General features: G+C 39.2%; 1 protein-coding gene and 2 pseudogenes across 1 annotated transcript in view; 2 read left to right on the forward strand and 1 right to left on the reverse strand.

Moving 5' to 3' along the window:
* Positions 1-26,972, reverse strand: part of CLIC2 (chloride intracellular channel 2) — a 58,404-nt gene that overhangs the window by 15,674 nt on the left and 15,758 nt on the right. Inside the window, exons 2-3 of the mRNA NM_001289.6 lie at positions 7,152-7,261; positions 6,901-7,026 (exon numbers count right to left, since the gene is read on the reverse strand). Coding sequence (NP_001280.3) covers positions 6,901-7,026; positions 7,152-7,261 — 236 coding nt within the window. The remainder of the gene's footprint in view (positions 1-6,900; positions 7,027-7,151; positions 7,262-26,972) is intronic.
* PHF10P1 (PHD finger protein 10 pseudogene 1) lies at positions 55-1,557 on the forward strand (annotated as a pseudogene).
* On the forward strand, positions 18,363-18,606 carry SRD5A2P1 (SRD5A2 pseudogene 1; annotated as a pseudogene).

Genomic DNA, 26,972 nt, shown 5'->3' on the forward strand with positions numbered 1-26,972 from the left:
CGGATGTCAGGAGCGCTGCCGCCGCCGCAGGACCTTCTCCATTCCCGCCCGCAGCCCCGCGGCCATGCGACAGCGACCCAGCCACCCCCGGAGCGCAGTCCTCGAAGGATGAAATTGAAGATAATTCAAATGACCGGACCCAGGCATCCAAAAAGAGGCGAATGGGCTCAGGAGATGGTTCTAGGAGCTGTGAAACTTCAAGTCAAGATCTTGGCTTTAGTTACTATCCAGCATAAAATTTGATAGAGTACAAATGGCCACCTGATGAAACAGGAGAATACTATATGCTTCAAGAACAAGTCAGTTAATATTTGGGTGTGACCTCCTTTAAAAGGAAATATCCAGATTTAGAGAGACGAGATTTGTCTCACAAGGAGAAACTCTACCTGAGAGAGCCAAATGTCATTACTGAAACTCAATGCACTCTAGGTTTAACTGAGCAGTGATGAAGTGATTGTTTTAACGATAAAGGAATATCCAGCCAAACATGCTGAGTATTCTGTTATTCTACAAGAAAAAGAACGTCAACGAATTACAGACCATTACAAAGAGTATTCCCAAATGTAACAACAGAATACTCAGAAAGTTGAAGCCAGTAAAGTGCCTGAGTATATTAAGAAAGCTGCCTGTAATCCCAGCACTTTGGGAGGCCGAGGTGGGCAGATCACGAGGTCAGGAGATCGAGACCATCCTGGCTAACACGGTGAAACCCCGTCTCTACTAAAAATACAAAAAATTAGCCGGGCGTGGTGGCGGGCGCCTGTAGTCCCAGCTACTGGGGAGGCTGAGGCAGGAGAATGGCGTGAACCTGGGAGGCGGAGCTTGCAGTGAGCCGAGATCGCGCCACTGCACTCCAGCCTGGGCGACAGAGCGAGACTCCGTCTCAAAACAAACAAACAAACAAACAAACAAACAAATAAAAAAGCTGCCAAAAAAAGCAGCAACTTAAACCGGGAACGCATGGAAGAAAGAAGAGCTTATTTTGACTTGCAGACACGTTATCCAGGTGCCTCAAGGGAAGTAGGAAGTTTTGCCAACAGGGCGAACAAAGGTCAGTTCTTACCCAGTGGCTCTCATCCCCGGACAGTTCCAGGAATATTATAAGAGGTACTCACCAGATGAGCTGTGGTATCTGCCATTAAACACAGCCCTGTACGAGGCCACTCTGGATCCTGAGCTCCCTGCTCTAGACAGTGACGGTGATTCAGATGACGGCGAAGATGGTTGAGGTGATGAGAAGCGGAAAAATAAAGGCACTTCGGACAGCTCCTCTGGCAAGGTATCTGAAGGGGAAAGCTCTCCTGACAGCCAGGAGGACTCTTTCCAGGGAAGACAGAAATCAAAAGACAAAGCTGCCACTCCAAGAAAAGATGCTCCCAAACGTTCTGTACTGTCCAACTCAGTTCCTGGGTACAAGCCCAAAGTCATTCCAAATGCTATATGTGGAATTTGTCTGAAGGGTAAGGAGTCCAACAAGAAAGGAAAGGCTGAATCACTTATACACTGCTCCCAGTGTGAGAATAGTGGCCATCCTTCTTGCCTGGATATAAAGAAAATAAAGGACTCAAATATTACCACTACACAAAACCACCAAACTGTAATGATAAATGACAAGAGAGAGAGAAAAAAAACAAAGAATATACAAAACAACCAGAAAAAAATAACAAAATGACAGAAATAAGTCTTCACATGTAAACATAAACAGATTAAATATTCCACTTAAAAGACATACACTGGATGAATAGACTTAAAAAACATAATCCAACTACATAGTACTTACAAGAGACTCACCTCACTAGTAAAGACACATATAGACTGAAATGGGTTGATAAAGATATTTCACACAAACGGAAACCAAAAGTGAGCAGGATTAGCTATAATCATATAAGACAAAACAGACATTAAATCAAAAAAAGTGAAAAAAGGACTAAAACTATCATTATATAATGACAGATCAACCCAGCAAAAAAGATATAACAATCCTAAATATATATGCACCCAATACTGGAGCATCCAGATTCATAAAGCAAACATTACTAGATCTAAAGGTAGAGACAGACTGCAGTGCAATAATAGGAAGGAACTTTAACATCCCACTGTCAACATTAGATAGATAATCTAGACAGAAAATCAACAAATAAACATTAGACTTAAACTGGACTTTAGACCAAATGAACCAAACAGACATTTACAGAACATTCTATCCAACAACTACAGAATATACATTCATCAGCACATGGAATATTCTCCAGGATGGACCATATGTCAGGCCACAAAATGTCTCAATAAATTTAACACAATGAAAATCATACCAAGGATATTCTCAGGCCACAATGAAATCAAATCAACTATAAATAAACACCAAGAGGAACTTTAGAAACTGCATAAATACATAAAAATTAACCAACATGCTCCTGAACAACCAATGGTCAATAAAGAATTTAAGAAGAAAAAAAATTCTTGAAACAAATGAAAATTGAAACATAACATACATAAACCTGTGGGATACAGCAAAAGCAGCACTAAGAGGCAAGCTTATAGCAATAAATGCCTACATGAAAAAAGTAGGAAAATGACAAATTAACAATCTAATAATGTATGTGAAGCTGCTAGAAAAGCAAGAACAAACCAAATACCAAATTAGCAGAAAAAGGAAGTAATAAAGAACAGAACTAAATGAAATACAGACTAAAAAATACAAAGCATCATGATTGAAAAAGTTGGTTTTTGTTAAATTGATAAACTGCCAGCTAGACTAACCAAAAAAGTAGAAGACCCAAACAAACAAATTAGAAATGAAAAAGGACACATTAAGTCATATATGTAAGAAATACAAAAGATTACCAGAGACCATTATGTACAACTGTATGCTGACAAACTGATAAACCTAGAGGAAATGGATAAGTTCCAGGAAACATACAATGTGCTGAGACTGAATTGGGAAGAAATAGAAAACATGAACAGACCAATAATGAGTAGCAAGATTGAGTCAGTAATAAAAAAGTCTCCCAATGAAGAAAAGCACAGGACTGGACAAATTCACTGACAAATTCTACCAGAAGAACTAATACCAATTCTCCTGAAACTATTCTAAAAAATGGAAGAGGAGAGAACTCTCCTTAACTCATTCTATGAGGCCAGCACCACCCTGATACAAAAACCAGACAAGAACACACACATAGAAGAAAACTACAGGCCAATATTTCTGATGAACATAGATACAAAAACTCTTGACAAAATACTAGCAAACTGAATCCAATAGCATATCAGAAAGATAATACACCATGATCAAGTGGGATTTATACCAGTGATACAAGAATGGTTCAACATGTGCAAATCAATAACCTCAATATATGACATCCATAGAATAAAGGACAAAAAACATATCATCATCTCAATAGATACAGAAAAAGCATTTGATAAAATTCAACACCCCTTCATGATAAAACCTCTCAACAAATGGGGCATAGAAGGAAAATATGTCAAAATAATAAAGGCTATATATGATAAACCCACAGCTGATATCATGCTGAATAGGGAAAAATTGAAAGCCTTTCCTCCAAGAAATGGAAAAAAAACAAGAATGCCCACTTTCACCACTCCTATTCAACATAGTATTGGAAGTCCTAGGTATGGCAATCAGGCAAGAGAAAGAAATAAAAGGCATCCAAATTGGGAAAAAGGAAGTAAAATTGTCCCTTTTTACTGGTGCCATGATCTTGTATCTAGTAAAACCTAAAAACTCCACCAAAAAATTCTTAGATTTGATAAGTAAATTCAGTAAAGTTCCAGGTTAAAAACATCAACACTAAAAAATATGTAGCATTTCTATACACCAATAATGATCTACCCACAAAAGAAATGAAGATGGCAATTCCATTTACAATAGCTAAAAATTAAAATATCTAGGAATAATTTTAATCAAGGAGGTGGAAGATCTTTACAATGAAAACTACAAAATGCTAATGAAAGGAATTGAAAATGATAAAAATATATGGGAAAACATCTCATGCTCATGGATCAGAAGAATGAATATTATTAAAATTGTGATTTTCCCAAAGTAACCTACAGATTCAATGCAATCCCTGTCAAAATACCAATGTCATTTTTCACAGAATTACAAAAAAAGAATACTAAAATTCACATGTAACCAAAAAAGATTCCATATAGCCAAAGCAATTCTGAGCAAAAAGAACAAAGCTAGAGGCATCACATTACCTGACTTTGAAATATATTACAAGGCTATAGTAACCAAAATAGCATGTTATGGTATAAAAATAGACACACAGAGCAATGGTCAGAATAGAGAACCTAGAAATAAATTCACATATTTACTGCCAGCTGATCTTTGACAAAGTTCACAAGAACATTGGGGAAAGGACACCTTTTTCAATTAATGGTACTGGGAAAATTGGACAGCCATATGCAGAAGAATGAAACTTGATCCTTATCTCTCACTGTATACAAAAATCAACTCAAAATGGACTGAAGACTTAAACATAATACTCAAAACTATAAAAATAATAAGAGAAAACCTAGGGAAAATTCTTCTGGACATTGTTCTAGACAAATAATTTATGATTGAGATGTCAAAAGCACAGGCAATAGAAACAAAAATAGACAAATAGGACTCAAGTAAACTAAAAAGCTTCTGCACAGCAAAAGAAATGAGTGAAGAGACAACCTTTTGAATGAGAGGAAATGTTTGCAAACTTCAACAGGGGACTAATATCCAGAATATACAAGGAAATCAAACAACTCAACAATAAAAAAAATCTCATAAAATATGGGCAAAGGGCATGGCCAAAATGTACATAAAGAAATGCTCAACTTTACTAATCAACAGAGAAATGCAAACCAAAACCAAAATGAGATATCATCTCACCTCAGTCAGAATTGCTATTATTAAAAAGACAAAAAAAAAATTAACAGACGTTGGCAAGGATGTGGAGAAAAAGGAACTCTTATACACTGTTTTTGGGAGTATAAATATAGCCACTATGGAAAACAGCATGGAGATTTCTGAAAAAACCAAAAGTAGCACTACCATAAGATCCAAAAATCTCACTAATTGGCATTTATCCAAAGCACGAGAAATCAGTATGTCAAAGGGATACCTGCACTCTCATGTTTATTATTGCATTATTCACAATAGACAAGGTATGGAATCGATCTAAGTGTCCATCAACAGATAAATGGATAAAGAAAGTGTGGTATACATACACAATGAAATAGTATTCAGCCATAAAAGAGAATGAAATCCTGTCATTTGGAACAACATGGATGGAACTGGAGTTGTTATGTCAAGTGAAATAAGCCAGGCACAAAAAGACAAAAATAGCATGTTCTCACTTATATGTGGGAGTTAAAAAAGTTGATCACATGAAGATAGAGAATGGAAAGAGAGATAACAGAGACTGGGGAGGGTGATTGGGAGGAGAAGGGAAGATGAAGAGAAGTGTGTTAAAAAGTACACACATAAATAAGATAGAAGGAATAAATTCAATGTTTGATAGAAGAGCAGGGTGACTATAGTTACAAAAATGTATTGTATTTGGGTTATGGACACCGTAGATACCTTGACTTTATCACTATGCATTACATACACATAATAGAATTTCATATGTATCCCATAATTTGTACTGATAAAAAAATTTAAAAGAAAGTGAACCATCAGGCCAGGCGCAGTGGCTCACGCCTGTAATCCCAGCACTTTGGGAGGCCGAGGCCGGTGGATCACAAGGTCAGGAGATTGAGACCATCCTGGCTAACACGGTGAAACCTCATCTCTACTAAAATTACAAAAAAAAAAAAAAAAAATTAGCCGGGCGTGGTGGCGGGCATCTGTAGTCCCAGCTACTCGGGAGGCTGAGGCAGGAGAATGGCGTGAACCCGAGACCCGAGAGGCGGAGCTTGCAGTGAGCCAACATGTGCCACTGCCCTCCAGCCTGGGCGACAGAGCGAGACTCCGGTCTCAAAAAAAAAAAAAAAAAAAAAAAAAAGAAGGTGAACCATCAGAGAGACATTCTCCTGCAGGTTTTAGAGGAAGAGAACAATCAGCCATGTTGCGAAATGCCTATACAGAGGGGCAGCCTCTAGTAATTGAATGCCAACCCAACCCCAACAAACAGCTACCCAATAACCTAAGACCTCAGTCATATAGCTGCAAGGAACTGAATTCTGCCAAAAACTTGAATGAAGATGGAAGAGTCACCTGGGCCCCATATGATAACTGTGTTCCCGACCAACACCTTGAATGCCACTTTTTGATACCCTGAGCAGAGGACCTTAGCAGGCTATGCCCAGACAACTGACCAATGGAAGCTGTGAGATAATAAATAGCTGTTGTTTTAAGATACTAAGTTTGTGGTAATTTGTTACACAGCAATAGAAAATTAATACAGCATGCTTCTTGTTTCTAGACCTATCCTGGGTAGACAGAGATGTGCGGTTGTCATTCAAGTGTAGGCAGTACAGTTCTGGCCTCTGGTTAACTGCTTGAAGTCTATGTCCTGGCCACTAGCCCTCGTGTTGGGTATGTTCTGTCATTTCGTCAGTGGTGTTAAGGACCAGTCATGACCAATCCTTATGAATTACATAGTGTTAGTATCCCATTCCCTCACTCCCATCTCACTATATGTTCCTACTCTATTTCTAGAGCACAGAGAACTTACCTTCTTGTGTTATGTATGTTATGCAGCTTTTAAAAATTATTTGAAATATTACACATATCATCTTTTTGTATTTGAAGTTGGAGGGGTATGTTTATGCATGTGTGTCATTTGACATGTAGGCCCAGAAATCCAAAAGTACTTAAATTGGTAAGAATACTAAATCTGCAATAAACAAGCCAGTAAAATAGATTATCTTCAGCAAAATAGTATCTTGTAAATGCTGTACCTTGGAGGAGCCAGGGTTTGTTCTAAAAACTCCTCAATTTTAATGAAGTCTGTTTTCAACTCCTTGTTATACACCAGGAACGGAGGATTGGTACCTGGGGCTAAGTCCTTTAGTTCTTCAGGCTTTCTATGATTATTAAAAATAAGCAGAGTTAGGTCTCTAGATAAAGTACACATTAAATAAACACCAATATTTTATTGGTATCTACCAATCTCAATTCCTAGAATTTAACATGTCCTGATTTCTCTTACCTGGTCATGTCAACAGTTGTCACATTAAATTTAACTCCTTTAAGCCAGAGGATCATGAAAAGGCGTTGGCAAAAGGGACAGTTTCCAATACTCTCTCCATCACTTCCAGCCTATTAAGATAAAGAGAGACCTCAGTTCATTTGTTTGTTCAATAAGTATGTATTTAGTTCCTAATAGGAAATGAGCCAGTTGCTAGAGACAAACATGGACATTCTTAATCTCATGTACTCCATCATCTATGGACAGAGAGATATAGGGAAGCAAATAATCTCATTATATGTAAAGTTACAACTGTGATGGGTACATAATAATAATAATAAATTTTATATATTATCAGAATTTATATAATTTTCCTATTGATAGACATTTAAGATATTCCAAAATTATTACTACTCTAAGCACTTCAGAAACAAACATTTCTGGGCATATAGCTTCTTCCACTTCTGAGATTATATCTTTAAGGTTAATCTTTAAAATGAAAATGGTCAGTAAAATGTATGCACATTTCCCATTTTGATAGATCTTACCAAATTTCCTTTCTTTTTTTTTTATTATTATACTTTAAGTTTTAGGGTACATGTGCACATTGTGCAGGTTAGTTACATATGTATACATGTGCCATGCTGGTGCGCTGCACCCACTAACTCGTCATCTAGCATTAGGTATATCTCCTGATGTTATCCCTCCCCCCTCCCCCCACCCCACAACAGTCCCCAGAGTGTGATATTCCCCTTCCTGTGTCCATGTGATCTCATTGTTCAATTCCCACCTATGAGTGAGAATATGCGGTGTTTGGTTTTTTGTTCTTGCGATAGTTTACTGAGAATGATGATTTCCAATTTCATCCATGTCCCTACAAAGGACATGAACTCCTCATTTTCTATGGCTGCATAGTATTCCATGGTGTATATATGCCACATTTTCTGAATCCAGTCTATCATTGTTGGACATTTGGGTTGGTTCCAAGTCTTTGCTATTGTGAATAATGCCGCAATAAACATACGTGTGCATGTGTCTTTATAGCAGCATGATTTATAGTTCTTTGGGTATATACCCAGTAATGGGATGGCTGGGTCAAATGGTATTTCCAGTTCTAGATCCCTGAGGAATCGCCACACTGACTTCCACAATGGTTGAACTAGTTTACAGTCCCACCAACAGTGTAAAAGTGTTCCTATTTCTCTACATCCTCTCCAGCACCTGTTGTTTCCTGACTTTTTAATGATTGCCATTCTAACTGGAGTGAGATGGTATCTCATTGTGGTTTTGATTTGCATTTCTCTGATGGCCAGTGATGATGAGCATTTTTTCATGTGTTTTTTGGCTGCATAAATGTCTTCTTTTGAGAAGTGTCTGTTCATGTCCTTTGCCCACTTTTTGATGGGGTTGTTTGTTTTCCTCTTGTAAATTTGTTTGAGTTCATTGTAGATTCTGGATATTAGCCCTTTGTCAGATGAGTAGGTTGCGAAAATTTTCTCCCATTTTGTAGGTTGCCTGTTGACTCTGATGGTAGTTTCTTTTGCTGTGCAGAAGCTCTTTAGTTGAATTAGATCCCATTTGTCAATTTTGTCTTTTGTTGCCATTGCTTTTGGTGTTTTAGACACGAAGTCCTTGCCCATGCCTATGTCCTGAATGGTAATGCCTAGGTTTTCTTCTAGGGTTTTTATGGTTTTAGGTCTAACGTTTAAGTCTTTAATCCATCTTGAATTGATTTTTGTATAAGGTGTAAGGAAGGGATCCAGTTTCAGCTTTCTACATATGGCTAGCCAGTTTTCCCAGCACCATTTAATAAATAGGGAATCCTTTCCCCATTGCTTGTTTTTCTCAGGTTTGTCAAAGATCAGATAGTTGTAGATATGCAGCGTTATTTCTGAGGGCTGTGTTCTGTTCCATTGATCTATATCTCTGTTTTGGTACCAGTACCATGCTGTTTTGGTTACTGTAGCCTTGTAGTATAGTTTGAAGTCAGGTAGTGTGATGCCTCCAGCTTTGTTCTTTTGGCTTAGGATTGACTTTGTGATGCGGGCTCTTTTTTGGTTCCATATGAACTTTAAAGTAGTTTTTTCCAATTCTGTGAAGAAAGGCATTGGTAGCTTGATGGGGATGGCATTGAATCTGTAAATTACCTTGGGCAGTATGGCCATTTTCACGATATTGATTCTTCCTACCCATGAGCATGGAATGTTCTTCCATTTGTTTGTAACCTCTTTTATTTCCTTGAGCAGTGGTTTGTAGTTCTCCTTGAAGAGGTCCTTCACATCCCTTGTAAGTTGGATTCCTAGGTATTTCATTCTCTTTGAAGTAATTGTGAATGGGAGTTCACTCATGATTTGGCTCTCTGTTTGTCTGTTGTTGGTGTATAAGAATGCCTGTGATTTTTGCACATTGATTTTGTATCCCGAGACTTTGCTGAAGTTGCTTATCAGCTTAAGGAGATTTTGGGCTGAGACAATGGGGTTTTCTAGATCTACAATCATGTCGTCTGCACACAGGGACAATTTGACTTCCTCTTTTCCTAATTGAATACCCTTTATTTACTTCTCCTGCCTAATTGCCCTGGCCAGAACTTCCAACACTATGTTGAATAGGAGTGGTGAGAGAGGGCATCCCTGTCTTGTGCCAGTTTTCAAAGGGAATGCTTCCAGTTTTTGCCCATTCAGTATGATATTGGCTGTGGGTTTGTCATAGATAGCTCTTATTATTTTGAAATACGTCCCATCAATACCTAATTTATTGAGAGTTTTTAGCATGAAGGGTTGTTGAATTTTGTCAAAGGCTTTTTCTGCATCTATTGAGATAATCATGTGGTTTTTGTCTTTGGCTCTGTTTATATGCTGGATTACATTTATTGATTTGTGTATATTGAACCAGCCTTGCATCCCAGGGATGAAGCCCACTTGATCATGGTGGATAAGCTTTTTGATGTGCTGCTGGATTCGTTTTGCCAGTATTTTACTGAGGATTTTTGCATCAATGTTCATCAAGGATATTGGTCTAAAATTCTCTTTTTTTGTTGTGTCTCTGCCTGGCTTTGGTATCAGAATGATGCTGGCCTCATAAAATGAGTTAGGGAGGATTCCCTCTTTTTCTATTGATTGGAAGAGTTTCAGAAGGAATGGTACCAGTTCCTCCTTGTACCTCTGGTAGAATTCGGCTGTGAATCCATCTGGTCCTGGACTCTTTTTGGTTGGTAAGCTATTGATTATTTCCACAATTTCAGCTCCTGTTATTGGTCTATTCAGAGATTCAACTTCTTCCTGGTTTAGTCTTGGGAGAGTGTATATGTCCAGGAATTTATCCATTTCGTCTAGATTTTCTAGTTTATTTGCGTAGAGGTGTTTGTAGTATTCTCTGATGGTAGTTTGTATTTCTGTGGAATCAGTGGTGATATCCCCTTTATCATTTTTTATTGCGTCTATTTGATTCTTCTCTCTTTTTTTCTTTATTAGTCTTGCTAGCGGTCTATCAATTTTGTTGACCCTTTCAAAAAACCACCTCCTGGATTCATTGATTTTTTGAAGGGTTTTTTGTGTCTCTATTTCCTTCAGTTCTGCTCTGATTTTAGTTATTTCTTGCCTTCTGCTAGCTTTTGAATGTGTTTGCTCTTGCTTTTCTAGTTCTTTTAATTGTGATGTTAGGGTGTCAATTTTGGATCTTTCCTGCTTTCTCTTGTGGGCATTTAGTGCTATAAATTTCCCTCTACACACTGCTTTGAATGTGTCCCAGAGATTCTGGTATGTTGTGTCTTTGTTCTCATTGGTTTCAAAGAACATCTTTATTTCTGCCTTCATTTCGTTATGTACCCAGTAGTCATTCAGGAGCAGGTTGTTCAGTTTCCATGTAGTTGAGCGGTTTTGAGTGAGATTCTTAATCCTGAGTTCTAGTTTGATTGCACTGTGGTCTGAGAGATAGTTTGTTATAATTTCTGTTCTTTTGCATTTGCTGAGGAGAGCTTTACTTCCCAGTATGTGGTCAATTTTGGAATAGGTGTGGTGTGGTGCTGAAAAAAATGTATATTCTATTGATTTGGGGTGGAGAGTTCTGTAGATGTCTATTAGGTCCCCTTGGTGCAGAGCCGAGTTCAATTCCTGGGTATCCTTGTTGACTTTCTGTCTCGTTGATCTGTCTAATGTTGACAGTGGGGTGTTAAAGTCTCCCATTATTAATGTGTGGGAGTCTAAGTCTCTTTGTAGGTCACTCAGGACTTGCTTTATGAATCTTGGTGCTCCTGTATTGGGTGCATATATATTTAGGATAGTTAGCTCTTCTTGTTGAATTGATCCCTTTACCATTATGTAATGGCCTTCTTTGTCTCTTTTGATCTTTGTTGGTTTAAAGTCTGTTTTATCAGAGACTAGGATTGCAACCCCTGCCTTTTTTTGTTTTCCATTGGCTTGGTAGATCTTCCTCCATCCTTTTATTTTGAGCCTATGTGTGTCTCTGCACGTGAGATGTGTTTCCTGAATACAGCACACTGATGGGTCTTGACTCTTTATCCAATTTGCCAGTCTGTGTCTTTTAATTGGAGCATTTAGTCCATTTACATTTAAAGTTAATATTGTTATGTGTGAATTTGATCCTGTCATTATGATGTTAGCTGGTTATTTTGCTCGTTAGTTGATGCAGTTTCTTCCTAGTCTCGATGGTCTTTACATTTTGGCATGATTTTGCAGCGGCTGGTACCGGTTGTTCCTTTCCATGTTTAGTGCTTCCTTCAGGAGCTCTTGTAAGGCAGGCCTGGTGGTGACAAAATCTCTCAGCATTTGCTTGTCTGTAAAGTATTTTATTTCTCCTTCACTCATGAAGCTTAGTTTGGCTGGATATGAAATTCTGGGTTGAAAATTCTTTTCTTTAAGAATGTTGAATATTGGCCCCCACTCTCTTCTGGCTTGTAGGGTTTCTGCCGACAGATCCGCTGTTAGTCTGATGGGCTTCCCTTTGAGGGTAACCCGACCTTTCTCTCTGGCTGCCCTTAACATTTTTTCCTTCATTTCAACTTTGGTGAATCTGACAATTATGTGTCTTGGAGTTGCTCTTTTCGAGGAGTATCTTTGTGGCGTTCTCTGTATTTCCTGAATCTGAACGTTGGCCTGCCTTGCTAGATTGGGGAAGTTCTCCTGGATAATATCCCGCAGAGTGTTTTCCAACTTGGTTCCATTCTCCCCGTCACTTTCAGGTACACCAATCAGACGTAGATTTGGTCTTTTCACATAGTCCCATATTTCTTGGAGGCTTTGCTCATTTCTTTTTATTCTTTTTTCTCTAAACTTCCCTTCTCGCTTCATTTCATTCATTTCATCTTCCATTGCTGATACCCTTTCTTCCAGTTCATCGCTTTGGCTCCTGAGGCTTCTGCATTCTTCACGTAGTTCTCGAGCCTTGGTTTTCAGCTCCATCAGCTCCTTTAAGCACTTCTCTGTATTGGTTATTCTAGTTATACATTCTTCTAAATTTTTTTCAAAGTTTTCAACTTCTTTGCCTTTGGTTTGAATGTCCTCCCGTAGCTCAGAGTAATTTGATCATCTGAAGCCTTCTTCTCTCAGCTCGTCAAAGTCATTCTCCATCCAGCTTTGTTCTGTTGCTGGTGAGGAACTGCGTTCCTTTGGAGGAGGAGAGGCGCTCTGCTTTTTAGAGTTTCCAGTTTTTCTGTTCTGTTTTTTCCCCATCTTTGTGGTTTTATCTACTTTGGTCTTTGATGATGGTGATGTACAGATGGGTTTTTGGTGTGGATGTCATTTCTGTTTGTTAGTTTTCCTTCTAACAGACAGGACCCTCAGCTGCAGGTCTGTTGGAGTACCCTGCCGTGTGAGGTGTCAGTGTGCCCCTGCTGGGGGGTGCCTCCCAGTTAGGCTGCTCGGGGGTCAGGGGTCAGGGACCCACTTGAGGAGGCAGTCTGCCCGTTCTCAGATCTCCAGCTGCGTGCTGGGAGAACCACTGCTCTCTTCAAAGCTGTCAGACAGGGACATTTAAGTCGGCAGAGGTTACTGCTGTCTTTTTGTTTGTCTATGCCCTGCCCCCAGAGGTGGAGCCTACAGAGGCAGGCAGACCTCTTTGAGCTGTGGTGGGCTCCACCCAGTTCGAGCTTCTGGGCTGCTTTGTTTACCTAATCAAGCCTGGGCAATGGCGGGCGCCCCTCCCCCAGCCTCGCTGCCACCTTGCAGTTTGATCTCAGACTGCTGTGCTAGCAATCAGCGAGACTCCGTGGGCGTGGGACCCTCCGAGCCAGGTGCGGGATATGTGGTGCGCCGTTTTTTAAGCCCGCCGGAAAAGCGCAGTATTTGGGTGGGAGTGATCCGATTTTCCAGGTGCCATCTGTCACCCCTTTCTTTGACTCAGAAAGGGAACTCCCTGACCCCTTGCTCTTCCCAAGTGAGGCAATGCCTCGCCCTGCTTCGGCTCGCGCACGGTGCACGCACCCACTGACCTGCGCCCACTGTCTGGCACTCCCTAGTGAGATGAACCCGGTACCTCAGATGGAAATGCAGAAATCACCCGTCTTCTGCGTCGCTCATCCTGGGAGCTGTAGACCGGAGCTGTTCCTATTCGGCCATCTTGGCTCCTCCCTCCACCAAATTTCCTTTCTGAAAGGTGCCTTTCCATATGGCCATTGGCCATTTCCTTATTTTGTGAATTGTTTGTTTATGACAGTTTTTAATTTTTTTATGAAGGTAATGACTTTTTCTTATTGTTTGGAAAAATTATTTGTATTTTAAAGACATTAACTCTTTGTGATATATGTTACATGTAATTTTAAAAACATGGATTATGTAAAATTTAAATTTACATGAGATCTACCATGCTTTTTCTCTACGTGGTCTGGCTTTTCTGATCTGCTTATATACATCAAGATTACAAAAAACATATTTCCTTACTTTATTTTTATATTTTGATTTACCATAAGGATTTTCTATCACGTTTTCTTCTAGTACCATCATGGTTTAATTTTTGCATTTGTTTCATTTATTTGGATTTTGTTTTGGTGTAAGAAGTGTATGAGGACTTCTTTAGTATTTTTAAATTTTTACAAATAGTTAATAGTCTTATGCCTTTCATTAAATAAATCCATCTGATATGGTTTGGATATTTGTCCCCTCCAAATCTCATGTTGAAATGTAATCTCCAATGTTGGAGGTGGGGCCTGGTAGGAGGTGATTGGATCCTGGGGGCGGATCCCTCATTAATGGTTTAGCACCATCATCTTGTTAATAAGTTTGTTCCTGCTCAGTTAGTTCCCTCGAGATCTGGTTGTTAAAAGTATGTGGCACCTCCCCCCTTGCTCTCTTGTTCCCACTTTCAGCATGGAGACACCTGCTCCCTCTTCACTTTCCACCATGATTGTAAGCTTCCTAAGGCCCTCACCAGAATCAGATGCCAGCACCATGCTTCTTGTAATATCTGCAGAACTATGAGTCAATTAAACTTTTTTTCTTTATAATTTACCCAGGCTCAGATTTTTTTTATAGTATTGCAAACACAGCCTGATACATCATTGTATTAGGTCACTCTTGCATTACTCTAAAGAAATACTTGAGACTGGATAATTTATAAGAAAAGAGGTTTAATTGGCTCACAGTTCTGCTGGCTGTACAAACATGGCACCAGCATCTGCTCAGCTTCTGGGGAGGCCTCAGGGAAATTTTACTCATAGCAGAAATTGAACTGGGAGCAGACACTTCACATGGCGAAAGCAGGAGTGAGAGAGAGAGAGAGAGAGTGGGGGATGAGATGCCACACTTTACAACAACCAGATCTCATGAGAACTCACTCACTATCATGAGGGCAGCACTAAGCCATGAGAGGTTTGCCCTCATGATCCAAACACTTTCCACCATGCCCCACCTCCAGAATTGGGAATTAAAATTTAACATGAGATTTGGGCAAGGAGAAATATCTAAACTATATCAGCCATCATTTTTTCTACTGATTGAAAACACTTTTTCTGCTTTGAAATTTTATATGCACTTGAGTTTATTGGTGGACCCTCTTTCTTCACTTACTCATTTACTTACCCAATGAATATTCACTGAACAAATTATGTGTGTAACATATACCAGACATATACATATATATATACACACCAGATATTAAAATAAAAATATTCCCCCAAATTAACTCTCAGTTTTAAACAGAGATAAATTATTTGAAGAAAGGAAGTGCATTTTATGAGTGTATAACAGAGAAACTCTGAGAAATCTATATGGGGTCTGTCAGGGAAGGCCTTCCCTGAGGAAGTAGCATTTAAACTAAGTTCAAAGGATAAGTAACAGTTAATTAGATGAATGGGCACGAAGAGGGCATTCTAAACAGGGAATAACATGTGCAAAGGTCTTGCAATAGGCTTGAGCATGGCATGTATAAAGAACTGAAAGAAGGTCAATGTGACTGGAATTCAGAGGAGGGAGAGAAGAGAAAAATTCAATAAGCTGGGATAGAGCAAAAATAAAATGTCCTGCTTTTCAAAAGAATTATTAAGAAAATAAAAAAGTCTTGTATCTATAACATATAAAAATACAAATAAAGAACACAACTCAACAACTAACTACCCAACTTTAAAAATGGGCAAGAGACGCCAAGTGTGGTGGCTCATGCCTGTAATCCTAGCACTTTGGGAGGCTGAGGCAGGCAGATCACTTGAGGTCAGGGGTTCGAGACCAGCCTGAGCAACATGATGAAACCCCATCTCTACTAAAAATTAGCTGGGCATGGTGGTGGGCTCCTGTAATCCCAGCTACTTGGCAGGCTGAGGCAGGAGAATTGCTTGAACCCTGGAGGCAGAGGTTGCAGTGAGCCAAGATCATGCCACTCTACTCCAGCATGGGCAACAGAGTGAGACTCTGTCTTAAAATAAATTGGGCAAAAGAGAGGAGAGGTGGAGCAGGAAAGCCAAATTAAAGCCTTCCCAAGAACGATGGGTACAAACAGGCCCAGACTGTGAAGATTACAATAAATACCTAACTCTTTAATGCCCAGATGTAGATAAACATCCATAAGAATCAAGACCATCCAGGAAAACATGACCTCACCAAATGAACTAAATAAGGCACTAGGGACCAATCCTGGAGCAACAGAGATACGTGACATTTCAGACAAAGATTCAAAATAACTGTTTTGAGGAAACTAAAAAAAAATTGAGATAACACAGAGAATTCTATCAGGTAAACCTAACAAAGAGATTGAAATAACTTAAAAGAATCGAGTGGAAATTCTGGAGTTGAAAAATGTAACTGACATACCGAAAAATGCATCAAAGTCTTTTAATAGTAGAATTGATCAAGCAGAAGAAAGAATTAATGAGCTTGAAGGCAGGCTATTTTAAAACACACAGACGAGAAAAAAGAAAAAAATCATAAAAAAGAATAAAGCATGCCTATGAAATCTACAAAATAGCTTCAAAAGGGCAAATCTAAGAGTTATTGGCCTTAAAGAGGAGGTAGAGAAAGAGATAGGATAGAAAGTTTATTCAAGGGATATCAACAGAGAACTTCCAAAACCTAGAGAAAGACATTGATATGCAAGTACGAGAATGTCATAGAACACCAAGTAGATTTAACCCAAAAAAGACTATCTCAGGGCATTTAACGTCCAACTCTCAAAGGTCAAGGATAAAGAAAGGATCTTAAAGCAGCAAGAGAAAAGAAACTAATAACATACAATGGCACTTCAGTGCGTCTGGAAGCAGACTTTTCAGTGGCAATCTTACAGGTCAGGAGAGAGTGGCATGACACAGTGAAGGTGTTGAAAGAAAAACACTTTTACCCTAGAATAGTATATCCAGCAAAAACATCCTTCAAACATGGAGAAATAAAAATCTTCCCAGACAAATGAAAGCTGAGGGCTTTTTATCAACACCAGATATACCCTACAAGAAATGCTAAAGGGAGTACTTCAATCAGAAAAAAAATAAGGTTAATGACAAATAAGTAATCACCAGAAGGCATAAAACTCACAGAAAAACACAGAATATTATAATACTGTAACTGTGGTTTGTAAACTACTCTTAAGTAGAAAGACTAAATGATGAACCAATCAAAAATAATAACTACAACAATGTTTTGAGACATAGACAGTACAATAAGATACAAGTAAAAAAAACCCTCTGTCTCTACTAAAAATATAAACAATTATCCAGGCATGGTGGCACGTGCCTGTAGTCCCAGCTACTCAGGAGACTGAGGTAGGAGGATCACCTGAGCTTGGGAAGTCAAGGTTGAAGGGAGCTAAGATTGTGCCACTGCACTCCAGCCTGGGCAACATGAGTGAGCCCCTGTCTCAAAAATAAAAAAATAAAAATAACTCACACCAATTCTACTCAAACTATTCTGAAAATTATAGGTGGAGAAAATACTTCTAATATCATTCTACAAGGCCAGTATTACCATGATACCAAAACCAAAGACACATCAAAAAAGAAAACTATAGGCCAATATCACTGATAAATATTTGTATTAGTCTGTTTCCATGCTGCTGATAAAGACATACATGAGACTGAGCAATTTACAAAAAAAATAAAAATAAAAAGAGGTTTAATGGACTCACAGTTCCACGTGGCTGGGAAGGCCTCACAATCATGGAAGAAGGTGAAAGGCACATCTCACATGGCAGCAGACAAGAGAAGAGAATGAGAGCCAAGTGAAAGGGGCCCTTATAAAGCCATCAGATCTCATGAGACTTACTACCATGAGAACAGTATGGGGGAAACTGTCCCCATGATTCAATTATCTCCCACTGGGTCCCTCCCACAACATGAGGGAATTATGGGTGTTACAATTCAAGATGAAATTTGGGTGGGGGCACAGCCAAACCATATCATTCTGCCCCTGGCCCCTCCCAAATCTCATGTCTTCACATTTCAAAACCAATTATGCCATCCCAACAGTCCCTCAAAGTCTTAACTCATTTTAGCATTTACTCAAAAGTCCACAATCCAAAGTCTCATCTGAGACAATGCAAGTCCCTTCCATCTATGAACCAGTAAAATCAAAAGCAAGTTAGTTATTTCCTAGATACAATGGAGGGGTACAGACATTGGGTAAACACAGTCATTCCAAATGGGAGAAATTGGCCAAAACAAAGGGGATACAGGCCCTATGCAAGTCTGGAATCCAGCAGGGCAGTCAGATCTTAAAACTCCAAAATGATCTCCTTAGACTTCATGTCTTGCATCTGGGTCATGCTGATGCTTGAGAGATGGGTTCCCATTGTCTTGGGTTTATAAGGTTTAGCTTAGGTGTCTTCTTGTTTATTTTGGGAATGGAAATCAACATTTATAGTGACTGTATATAGTGCCAGGTCAGGAAGCCTGGAGAAATAACCTATAGGAATCCACAAGGTGGCTTGTTTATGTATGTTTCTGAAGCCAATTTCCCCAGTGAGATCACTGAATGGATTGGCTATGCCCTGGCCACTTGGTCCATCCTGACACTTGCATTTGCATTTTTCTCACCTTGTTTCCTTGGGCAGCTCTGCCCCTGTGGCTTTGCAGGGTACAGCCTCTCTCCTGGTTGTTTTCACAGGCTGGCATTGAGTGTCTGTGGCTTTTCCAGGCACATGGTGCAAACTGTCAGTGGATCTACCATTCTGGGGTCTGGAGGATGGTGGCCCTCTTCTCACAGCTACACTAGGCAGCACCCCAGTGGGGACTCTGTGTGGGGGCTCCAACCCCACATTTCCCTTCCATACTGCCCCAGCAGAGGTTCTCCATGAGGGCCCCACCCCGAAGCAAACTCTGCCTGGACATCCAGGTATTTCCATACATTCTCTGAAATCTAGGCACAGGTTCCCAAACCTCAATTCTTGACTTCTGTGCACTGCAGGCTCAACACCACATGGAAGCTGCCAAAGCTTGGGGCTTGCATGCTCTGTAGCCACAGCCTGAGCTATACTTTGGCCGCTTCTAGTCATGCCTGGAGTGGCTGGGATGCAGGGCACCAAGTCCCTAGACTGCAAACAGCAGAGGGACCCTGCGCCCAGCCCACAGAATCATTTTTCATTCTTAGGTCTCAGGGCCTGTGGTGGAAGGGGCTGCCACAAAAGTCTCTGACATGCCCTGGAGACATTTTCCCCATTGTCTTGGTGATTAACATTCTGCTCCTTGTTACTTATGCAAATTTCTGTAGCTGGCTTGAATTTCTCCTCAGAAAATGGGATTTTCTTTTCTATCACACTGTCAGGCTGCAAATTTTCTGAAATTTTATGCTGTGTTTCCTTTTTAAAAGTGAATGCTTTTAACAGTACCCAAGTCACCTCTTGAATGCTTTGCTGCTTAGAAATTTCTTCTGCCAGATACCCTAAATCATCTCTCTCAAGTTCAAACTTCCACAAATCTCTAGGGCAGGGACAAAATGCTGCCAGTCTCTTTGCTAAAACATAACAAGTGTCACCTTTGCTCCGGTTCCCAGCAAGTTCCTCATCTCCATCTGAGACCACCTCAGCCTGTATTTTATTGTCCATATCATCAGCATTTTGGTCAAAGCCATTCAACAAGTCTCTAGGAAGTTCCTAGCTTTCCCACATTTTTCTGTCTTCTTCTGAGCCCTCCCATGTGTTCCAACCTCTGCCTATTACCCAGTTCCAAAGTTGCTTCCACATTTTTGAGTATCTTTTAAGTAGCACCCTATTCTTGGTACCAATTTACTGTATTAGTCCATTTTCATGCTGCTGATAAAGACATACCCGACACTGGGCAATTTACAAAAGAAAGAGGTTTAATGGACTCATAGTTCCTTGTGGCTGGGGAGGCCTCAAAATCATGGCAGAAGGTGAAAGGCACATCTCACATGGCAGCAGACAAGAGAAGAGAATGAGAGCCAAGGGAAAGCGGTTTCCCCTTATAAAACTATCAGATCTTGTGAGACTTATTCACTACCATGAGAACAGTATGGGGGAAACTGTGCCCATGATTCAATTATCTCCCACTGGGTCCCTCCCACAACATGAGGGAATTATGGGAGCTACAATTCAAGATGAAATTTGGGTGGGGACACAGCCAAACCATATGATTATTGTTGCAAAAATTGTCAATAAAATACTAGCAAACTGAATTCAACAACATATTAAAATGATCATTCATTCTGTAGGTTGTCTGTTTACTGTGTTGATAGTTTCTTTTGCTGTGTAGGAGCTCTTAAGTTTAATTAGACCCCATTTGTCAATTTTTCCTTTTGTTGCAGTTGTTTTTGGTGTCTTCATCATGAAATCTTTGCCTGTTCCTATGTCCAGAATGGTATTGCCTAGGTTTTCTTCCAGGGTTTTTGCAGTTTTGCATTTTGCATTTCAGTACTTCACCCATCTTGAGTTTATTTTTGTATATGGTGTAGGAAAGGGGTCCATTTTAAACCTCCTGCATAGGGCTAGCCAATTATCCCAGCACCATTTATTGAATAAGGAGTCTTTTCCCCAATGCTTGTTTTTGTCAGGCTTGTCAAAGATCAGATTGTTGTAGGTGTGTGGCCTTATTTTTGGGCTCTCTATTCTGTTCCATTGTTCTATGTGTCTGTTTCTGTGCCAGTACCATGCTGTTTTGGTAACCATAGCTCTGTAGTATAGTTTTGAGTGAGGTAAGGTGATTCCTCCAGCTTTGTTCTTTTTGCTTAGGATTGCTTTGACTATTTGGGCTCTTTTTGTGATTCCATATGAATTTTAAAATAGTCTTTTCTGGTTCTGTGAAGAATGTCATTGGTAGTTTGATAGGAATAGCATTGAATCTATAGATTGCTTTGGGCAGTATGGCCATTTTAATGATATTTATTTTTCCTATCCATGAACATGGAATGTTTTTCCATATGCATCTGATGAAGGCCTAATATCCAGCATCTATAAGAAACTTAAACAAATTTACAAGAAAAAGCCTATGAAAAAGTGGGCAAATAACATGAATAGACACTTTTCAAAAGAAGACATGCATGTGGCCAATGAGCGTATGAAAAAAAAGTTCAACACCCCTGATAATTAGAGAAATTCAAATCAAAACCAGAATGAGACACCATCTCACGCAGTCAGAATGGCTATGATTAAAAAGTCAAAAATAGGCTGGGCACCATGGCTCATGCCTGCAATCCTAGCACTTTGGGATGCCACGGAGGGAGGATGGATCACTTGAGCCCAGGAGTTCTAGACCAGCCCAGGATACATAGCAAAATGCCACCTCTCTATATAAATAAGGCAAAAAAAAAAAAAAAAAACAAAACTACTGTCAAAGTTGCAGGGAAAAAGGAACACAGACACTGTTAAGTGGGAGTCTAAATTAGTTCAACTATTGTGGAAAGCAGTGTGACATTTTCTTAAAGACCTAAAAATAGAACTACCATTTTACCCAGCAATCCTATTACTGGGTATCTACCCAAAGAGATATAAATTATTTTATCATAAAGATGCATGCACACATGCTCACTGCAGCACTATTCACAATAGCAAAAACATGGAATCAACCTAAATGCCCATCAATGGTAGACTGGATAAAGACAATGTGGTACATATACACAACTGAATATGATGCAGCCATAAAAAAGAATAAGATAATTAAGATGGCAGATAGGAGGCAGCACTAGCTTGCAGCTCCCACTTGGACAGACAGAGAGGTGAGGAGGCTCACATCATGATCTTTTGCTCCAAGAAGTACCACAGCAACATTCCAGGGAAGCTGAGATAATCCACAGACCCTTTGAAGGAACTGGAGCACTGCTGCATGCTCCCTGAGATGCTGAAAAACTGTGAGTCTCCTTGCTTTTTAGCTGGGAGGCTGGTGGTCTGGGGCAAGTTCTCAGCCTTGATCACCAGATGCCCAGAAATAGACTCGGTGCTGTTGAGGGGGCACAGTGGGAGTAAGACTGGCCTTTAGGACTGCAGGCTGCATGGGTGCGGGATGAGCCTGTGACTGCCAGCTTTCCCCTACTTCCTTGGTGATCTGTATGACTCAGCAGAGGCAGCTATTATCCCCGTGGGAACATAACTCCATTGGCCTGGGAACCACACCCCCATCCCCTACAGCAGCCACAGCAAGCTACACTCAAGGAGAGTCTGAGCTCAGACATGCCTAACCCTGCCCCCACTTGGTGGTCTTTCTCTACCCACCCTGGTTGCAAGGACAAGGGACATAATCTCTTGGGAGCTCTATGGCTCTGCCCACCACCCGAGAAACCTGAATACTTAACCAGGTGACCCTAGGGAAAGTTTGCTTCCTCCCTAGACTACTACAACTGATGTGCTCTTGAAAGCACCACCTCCTGGCTGGAGGCCAACCAATACAAATCCAGCACATTAAATAAAAATACAACCAAAGACTCTCACAGAATCCACTTCACTCCCCTGCTATCTCTACCAGAGCAGGTGCTGGTATCCATGGCCAAAAGACATGAAGATGGGTCATATCACAGGACTCTTTGCAGATACTCTCCAGTACCAGCCTGAAGCCAGTAGCTCCGCTAGGTGGCTAGACCTAGAAGAGCAAAAACAATCACCGCAGTTCGGCTCTCAGGAAGCCCGAATTCTAGAGGAAGTGTGAGAACAACAATCAAGGGACCACCCCGTGGGAGAAAAGAATTTGAACAGCCCCTCCCAGATCTTCCCTCTGACATAGTCTAAGCAAGTGAGAAATAACTAGAAAATCAATTCTGGTAATACAACAAAACAAGGTAATTTAACACTCCCAAAAGATCACACCAGCTCACAAGCAATGGATCCAAACCAAGATAAAATACCTGAATTGCCAGAAAAAGAATTCAGAAGGTAGATTATTAAGCTAATCAAGGAGACATCAGAGAAAGGTGAACTCCAACTTAAAGAAATCATAAACATGATACAGGATATGAAAGGAAAAATCTTCAATGATATGAAAGCAAAAATCTTCAATGAAATAGATAGCATAAATAAAAAACAACCACAACTTCTGGAAATTAAGGACACACTTATAGAAATGCAAAATGCACTGGAAAGTCTCAGCAGTAGAATCAAACAAGCAGGAGAAAGAACTTCAGAGCTTGAAGATAAGGCTTTCAAATTAACTGAATCCCTCAAAGACAAAGAAAAAAATAATTAAAAAACAAAAAAAGTGAACAAAGCCTCCAAAAAGCTTGGAACTATGTTAAACACCCAAACCTAAGACTAATTGATGTTCCCAAGGAAGAGGAGAAATCTAAAAGTCTGAAAACCATATTTGAGGGAATAATCAAGGAAAACTTCTCCAGCCTTTAGATATCTAGGCATCCAAATAAAATAAGCTCAAAGAACACCTGGAAAATTTATCACAAAAAGATAATTGCCTAGGCACATAGTCATCAGGTTATCTAAAATCAAGACAAACAAAATAATCTTAAGAGCTATGAGGAAAAAGCATCAGGTAACCTATAAAGGAAAACCTATCAGAGTAACAGCAGGTTTCTCAGCAGAAACCCTACAAGCTAAAAGGAATTGGGGTCCTATTTTTAGCCTCCTTAAACAAAACAATTATCACCCAAGAATTTTGTATCCAGTGAAACTAAGCTTCATAAATGAAGAAAAGATACAGTCTTTTACAGACAAACAAATGCTGGGAGAATTCGCCACTACCAAGCTGGCAATACAAGAACTGCTAAAAGGAGCTCTAAATTTTGAAACAAATCCTTGAAATACACCAAAATGGAACCTACTTAAAGCACAAATCTCACAGGATCTATATAACAATAACACAATGAAAAAAAAACCAAGGTATTGAGGCAACAAATAGCATGATGAATAGAATAGTACCTCACATCTCAGTACTAACATTGAATGTAAATGGCCTAAATGCCTCACTTAAAAGATATAGAATCCATTCTACAATGGATAAGAATTCACCAAACAAGTTTCTGCTGTCTTCAGGAGACTCACCTAACACATAAGGACTCAGGTAAACTTAAGGTAAAGGAAAAAGATATTCCATGCAAATGGACACCAAAAGTGAGCAGAAGTAGCTATTCTTATATCAGACAAAACAAACTTTAAAGCAATAGCAGTTAAAAAAGACAAACAGAGACATTAAAGAATGATAAAAGGACTAGTCCAACAGGAAAATATCACAATCCTAAATATATATGCACCTAACACCAGAGCTCCTGAATTTATAGAACAATTACTACTAGACCTAAGAAATGAGATAGATGGTAACACAATAATAGTGGGGGACTTTAAGACTCTACTGACAGCACTAGACAGGTCATCAAAAAAGAAAGTCAACAAATAAACCATCAACTTAAACTATACCCTAAAACAAATGGACTTAACAGATATTTACAGAACATTCTTCCCAACAACTGCAGAATATACATTCTATTTATCAACACATGGAACATTCTCCAAGATAGACCACATGATAAGGCACAAAACAAGTCTCAGTAAATTTAAGAAAATCAAAATTATATCAAGTATTCTCTCAGAACACAGTGGAATAAAATTAGAAATAAACTCCATAAGGAATCCTCAAAACCACACAAATACCTGAAAATTAAATAACCTCCTGAATGATTGTTGGGTCAAAATGAAATGAAGATGGAAATCAAAAATTGTTTGAACTGAACGATAACAGTGACACAACTTATCAAAACCTCTGGGATACAGCAAAAGTGGCTGTATTTGTCAGGGTTCTCTAGAGGGACAGAACTAACAGGATATATATTATATATATCCTATTAGTTTATTAAGTATTAACTAACATGATCACAAGGTCCCACAATAGGCTGTCTGTAAGCTGAGGAGCAAGGAGAACCAGGCCAAGTCCCAAAACTGAAGAACATGGAGTCCAATGTTTGAGGGTAGGAAGTATCCAGCACGAGAGAAAGATGTAGGCTGGGAGGCTAAGTCAGTCTCATCTTTTTATATTTTTCTGCCTACTTTATATTCTAGCCATGCTGGCAGCTAATAAGATGCTGCCCAATCAGATTAAGGGTGGGTGTGCCTTTCCCAGCCCACTGACTCAAATGTTAATCTCCTTTGGAAACACCCTCACAGACACACCCAGGATCAATACTTTGCATCCTTCAATCCAATCAAGTTGACACTCAGTATTAACCATCAGAGTGGTGCTAAAAGGAAAGCTCATAGTATTAAATGCCTACATCAAAAAGTCTGAAAGAGCACAAATACACAATCTGAGGTCACACCTCACAGAACTGAAGAAACAAAAGCAATCCAAACCCAAACCCAGCAGAAGAAAAGAAATAAAGATCAGAGCAGAACTAAGTGAAATTGAAACAAACAAACAAGACACAAAAGATAAGTGAAACAAAAGCTTGTTATTGGAAAAGATAAATAAAATTGATAGACAGTTAGTGAGATTAACCAAGAAGAGAGAAGATCCAAATAAACTCAATTAGAAATGAAATGAGAGATATTACTACTGATACGACAGAAATACAAAAAAATTATTTAAGGCTTCTGTGAACATCTTTACATGCATAAACTAGAAAACCTAGAGAAGAGGATAAATTCCTGGAAATACAAAGATCTTCTAGATTAAACCAGGAAGTTATAGTAACTCTGAACACACCAATAACAAGCAGCAAGATTAAAATGATAATTTAAAAATTGCCAACAACAACAACAAAAGTCCAGGACCAGACAGATTTACAGCTGCATTCTATCTGGCATTCAAAGAAGAATTGGTACCAATCCTATTGACACTATTCCATTGGATAAAAAGGAAATTATCTCTAAATCATTCCAGGAGGCCAGTATCCCCCTAATACCAAAACCAAGGAAGGACATAAAAAAAGAAAACTACAGACCAATATTCATGATGAACATATATGCAAAAATCTTTAACAAAATGCTAGCTAATTAAATCCAACAGCATATCAAAAAGATAATCCACCATGATCAAGTGAGTTTCATACCAGGGATGCAGGGATGGTTTAACATCTGCAAGTTAACAAATGTCATACACCACATAGAAATAATTAAAAACAAAAATCACATGATCATCTCAATAGATACATAAAAAGCATTCGACAAAATCCAGCATCTCTTTATGATTAAAACCTTCAGCAAAATTGGCAGAGAAGAAACATACCTTAAGGTAATAAAGGCCATCTATGACGAACCCATAGCCAACGTTATACTGAACAGGGAAAAGATGAAAGCATTCCCCCTGAGAACTGGAACAAGACAATGATGCTCACTTTTACCACTTATATTCAAGATAGTACTGGAAGTCCCAGCCAGAGCAATCAGAAAAGAGAAAAAAATCAAGGGCATCCAAATTGGTAAAGAGGAAGTCAAACTGTTCCTGTTTGCTGATGATATGTTTGTATACCTAGAAAACTCTAAAGACTCATCCAAAAAGCTCCTAGAACTGGTAAATAAATTCAGCAAAGTTTCAGGATACAAAATTAATGTACACAAAACAGTAGCTCTCCTATATACCAATAGTGACCAAGCTGAGAATAAAATAAGAACTCAATCCCTTTTACCATAGTTGCAAAAAATAAAATAAAATGAACAACTCAGGAATATACCTAACCATGGAGGTGAAAGACCTCTACAAAGAAAACTACAAAACACTGCTGAAAGAAATCATAGATGACACAAACAAATGGAAATACATCCCATGCTCATGGATGGGTAGAATCAATATTGTGAAAATGACCATACTGCCAAAAGCAATCTACAAATTCAATGCAATTCCCATGAAAATACCACTGTCATTCTTCACGGAACTAGAAAAACAATTCTAAAATTCATATGAAACCAAAAAAGCCCACATAGCAAAAGAAAGACTAAGCAAAAAGAACAAATCTGGAGGCATCTCATTACCCGACTTCAAACTAGACTATAAGGCTATAGTCACCAAAACAGCATGGTACTGGTATAAAA

This window comes from Homo sapiens, chromosome X, assembly GCF_000001405.40.
Source record: "Homo sapiens chromosome X, GRCh38.p14 Primary Assembly".
Classification (NCBI taxonomy): domain Eukaryota; kingdom Metazoa; phylum Chordata; class Mammalia; order Primates; family Hominidae; genus Homo; species Homo sapiens.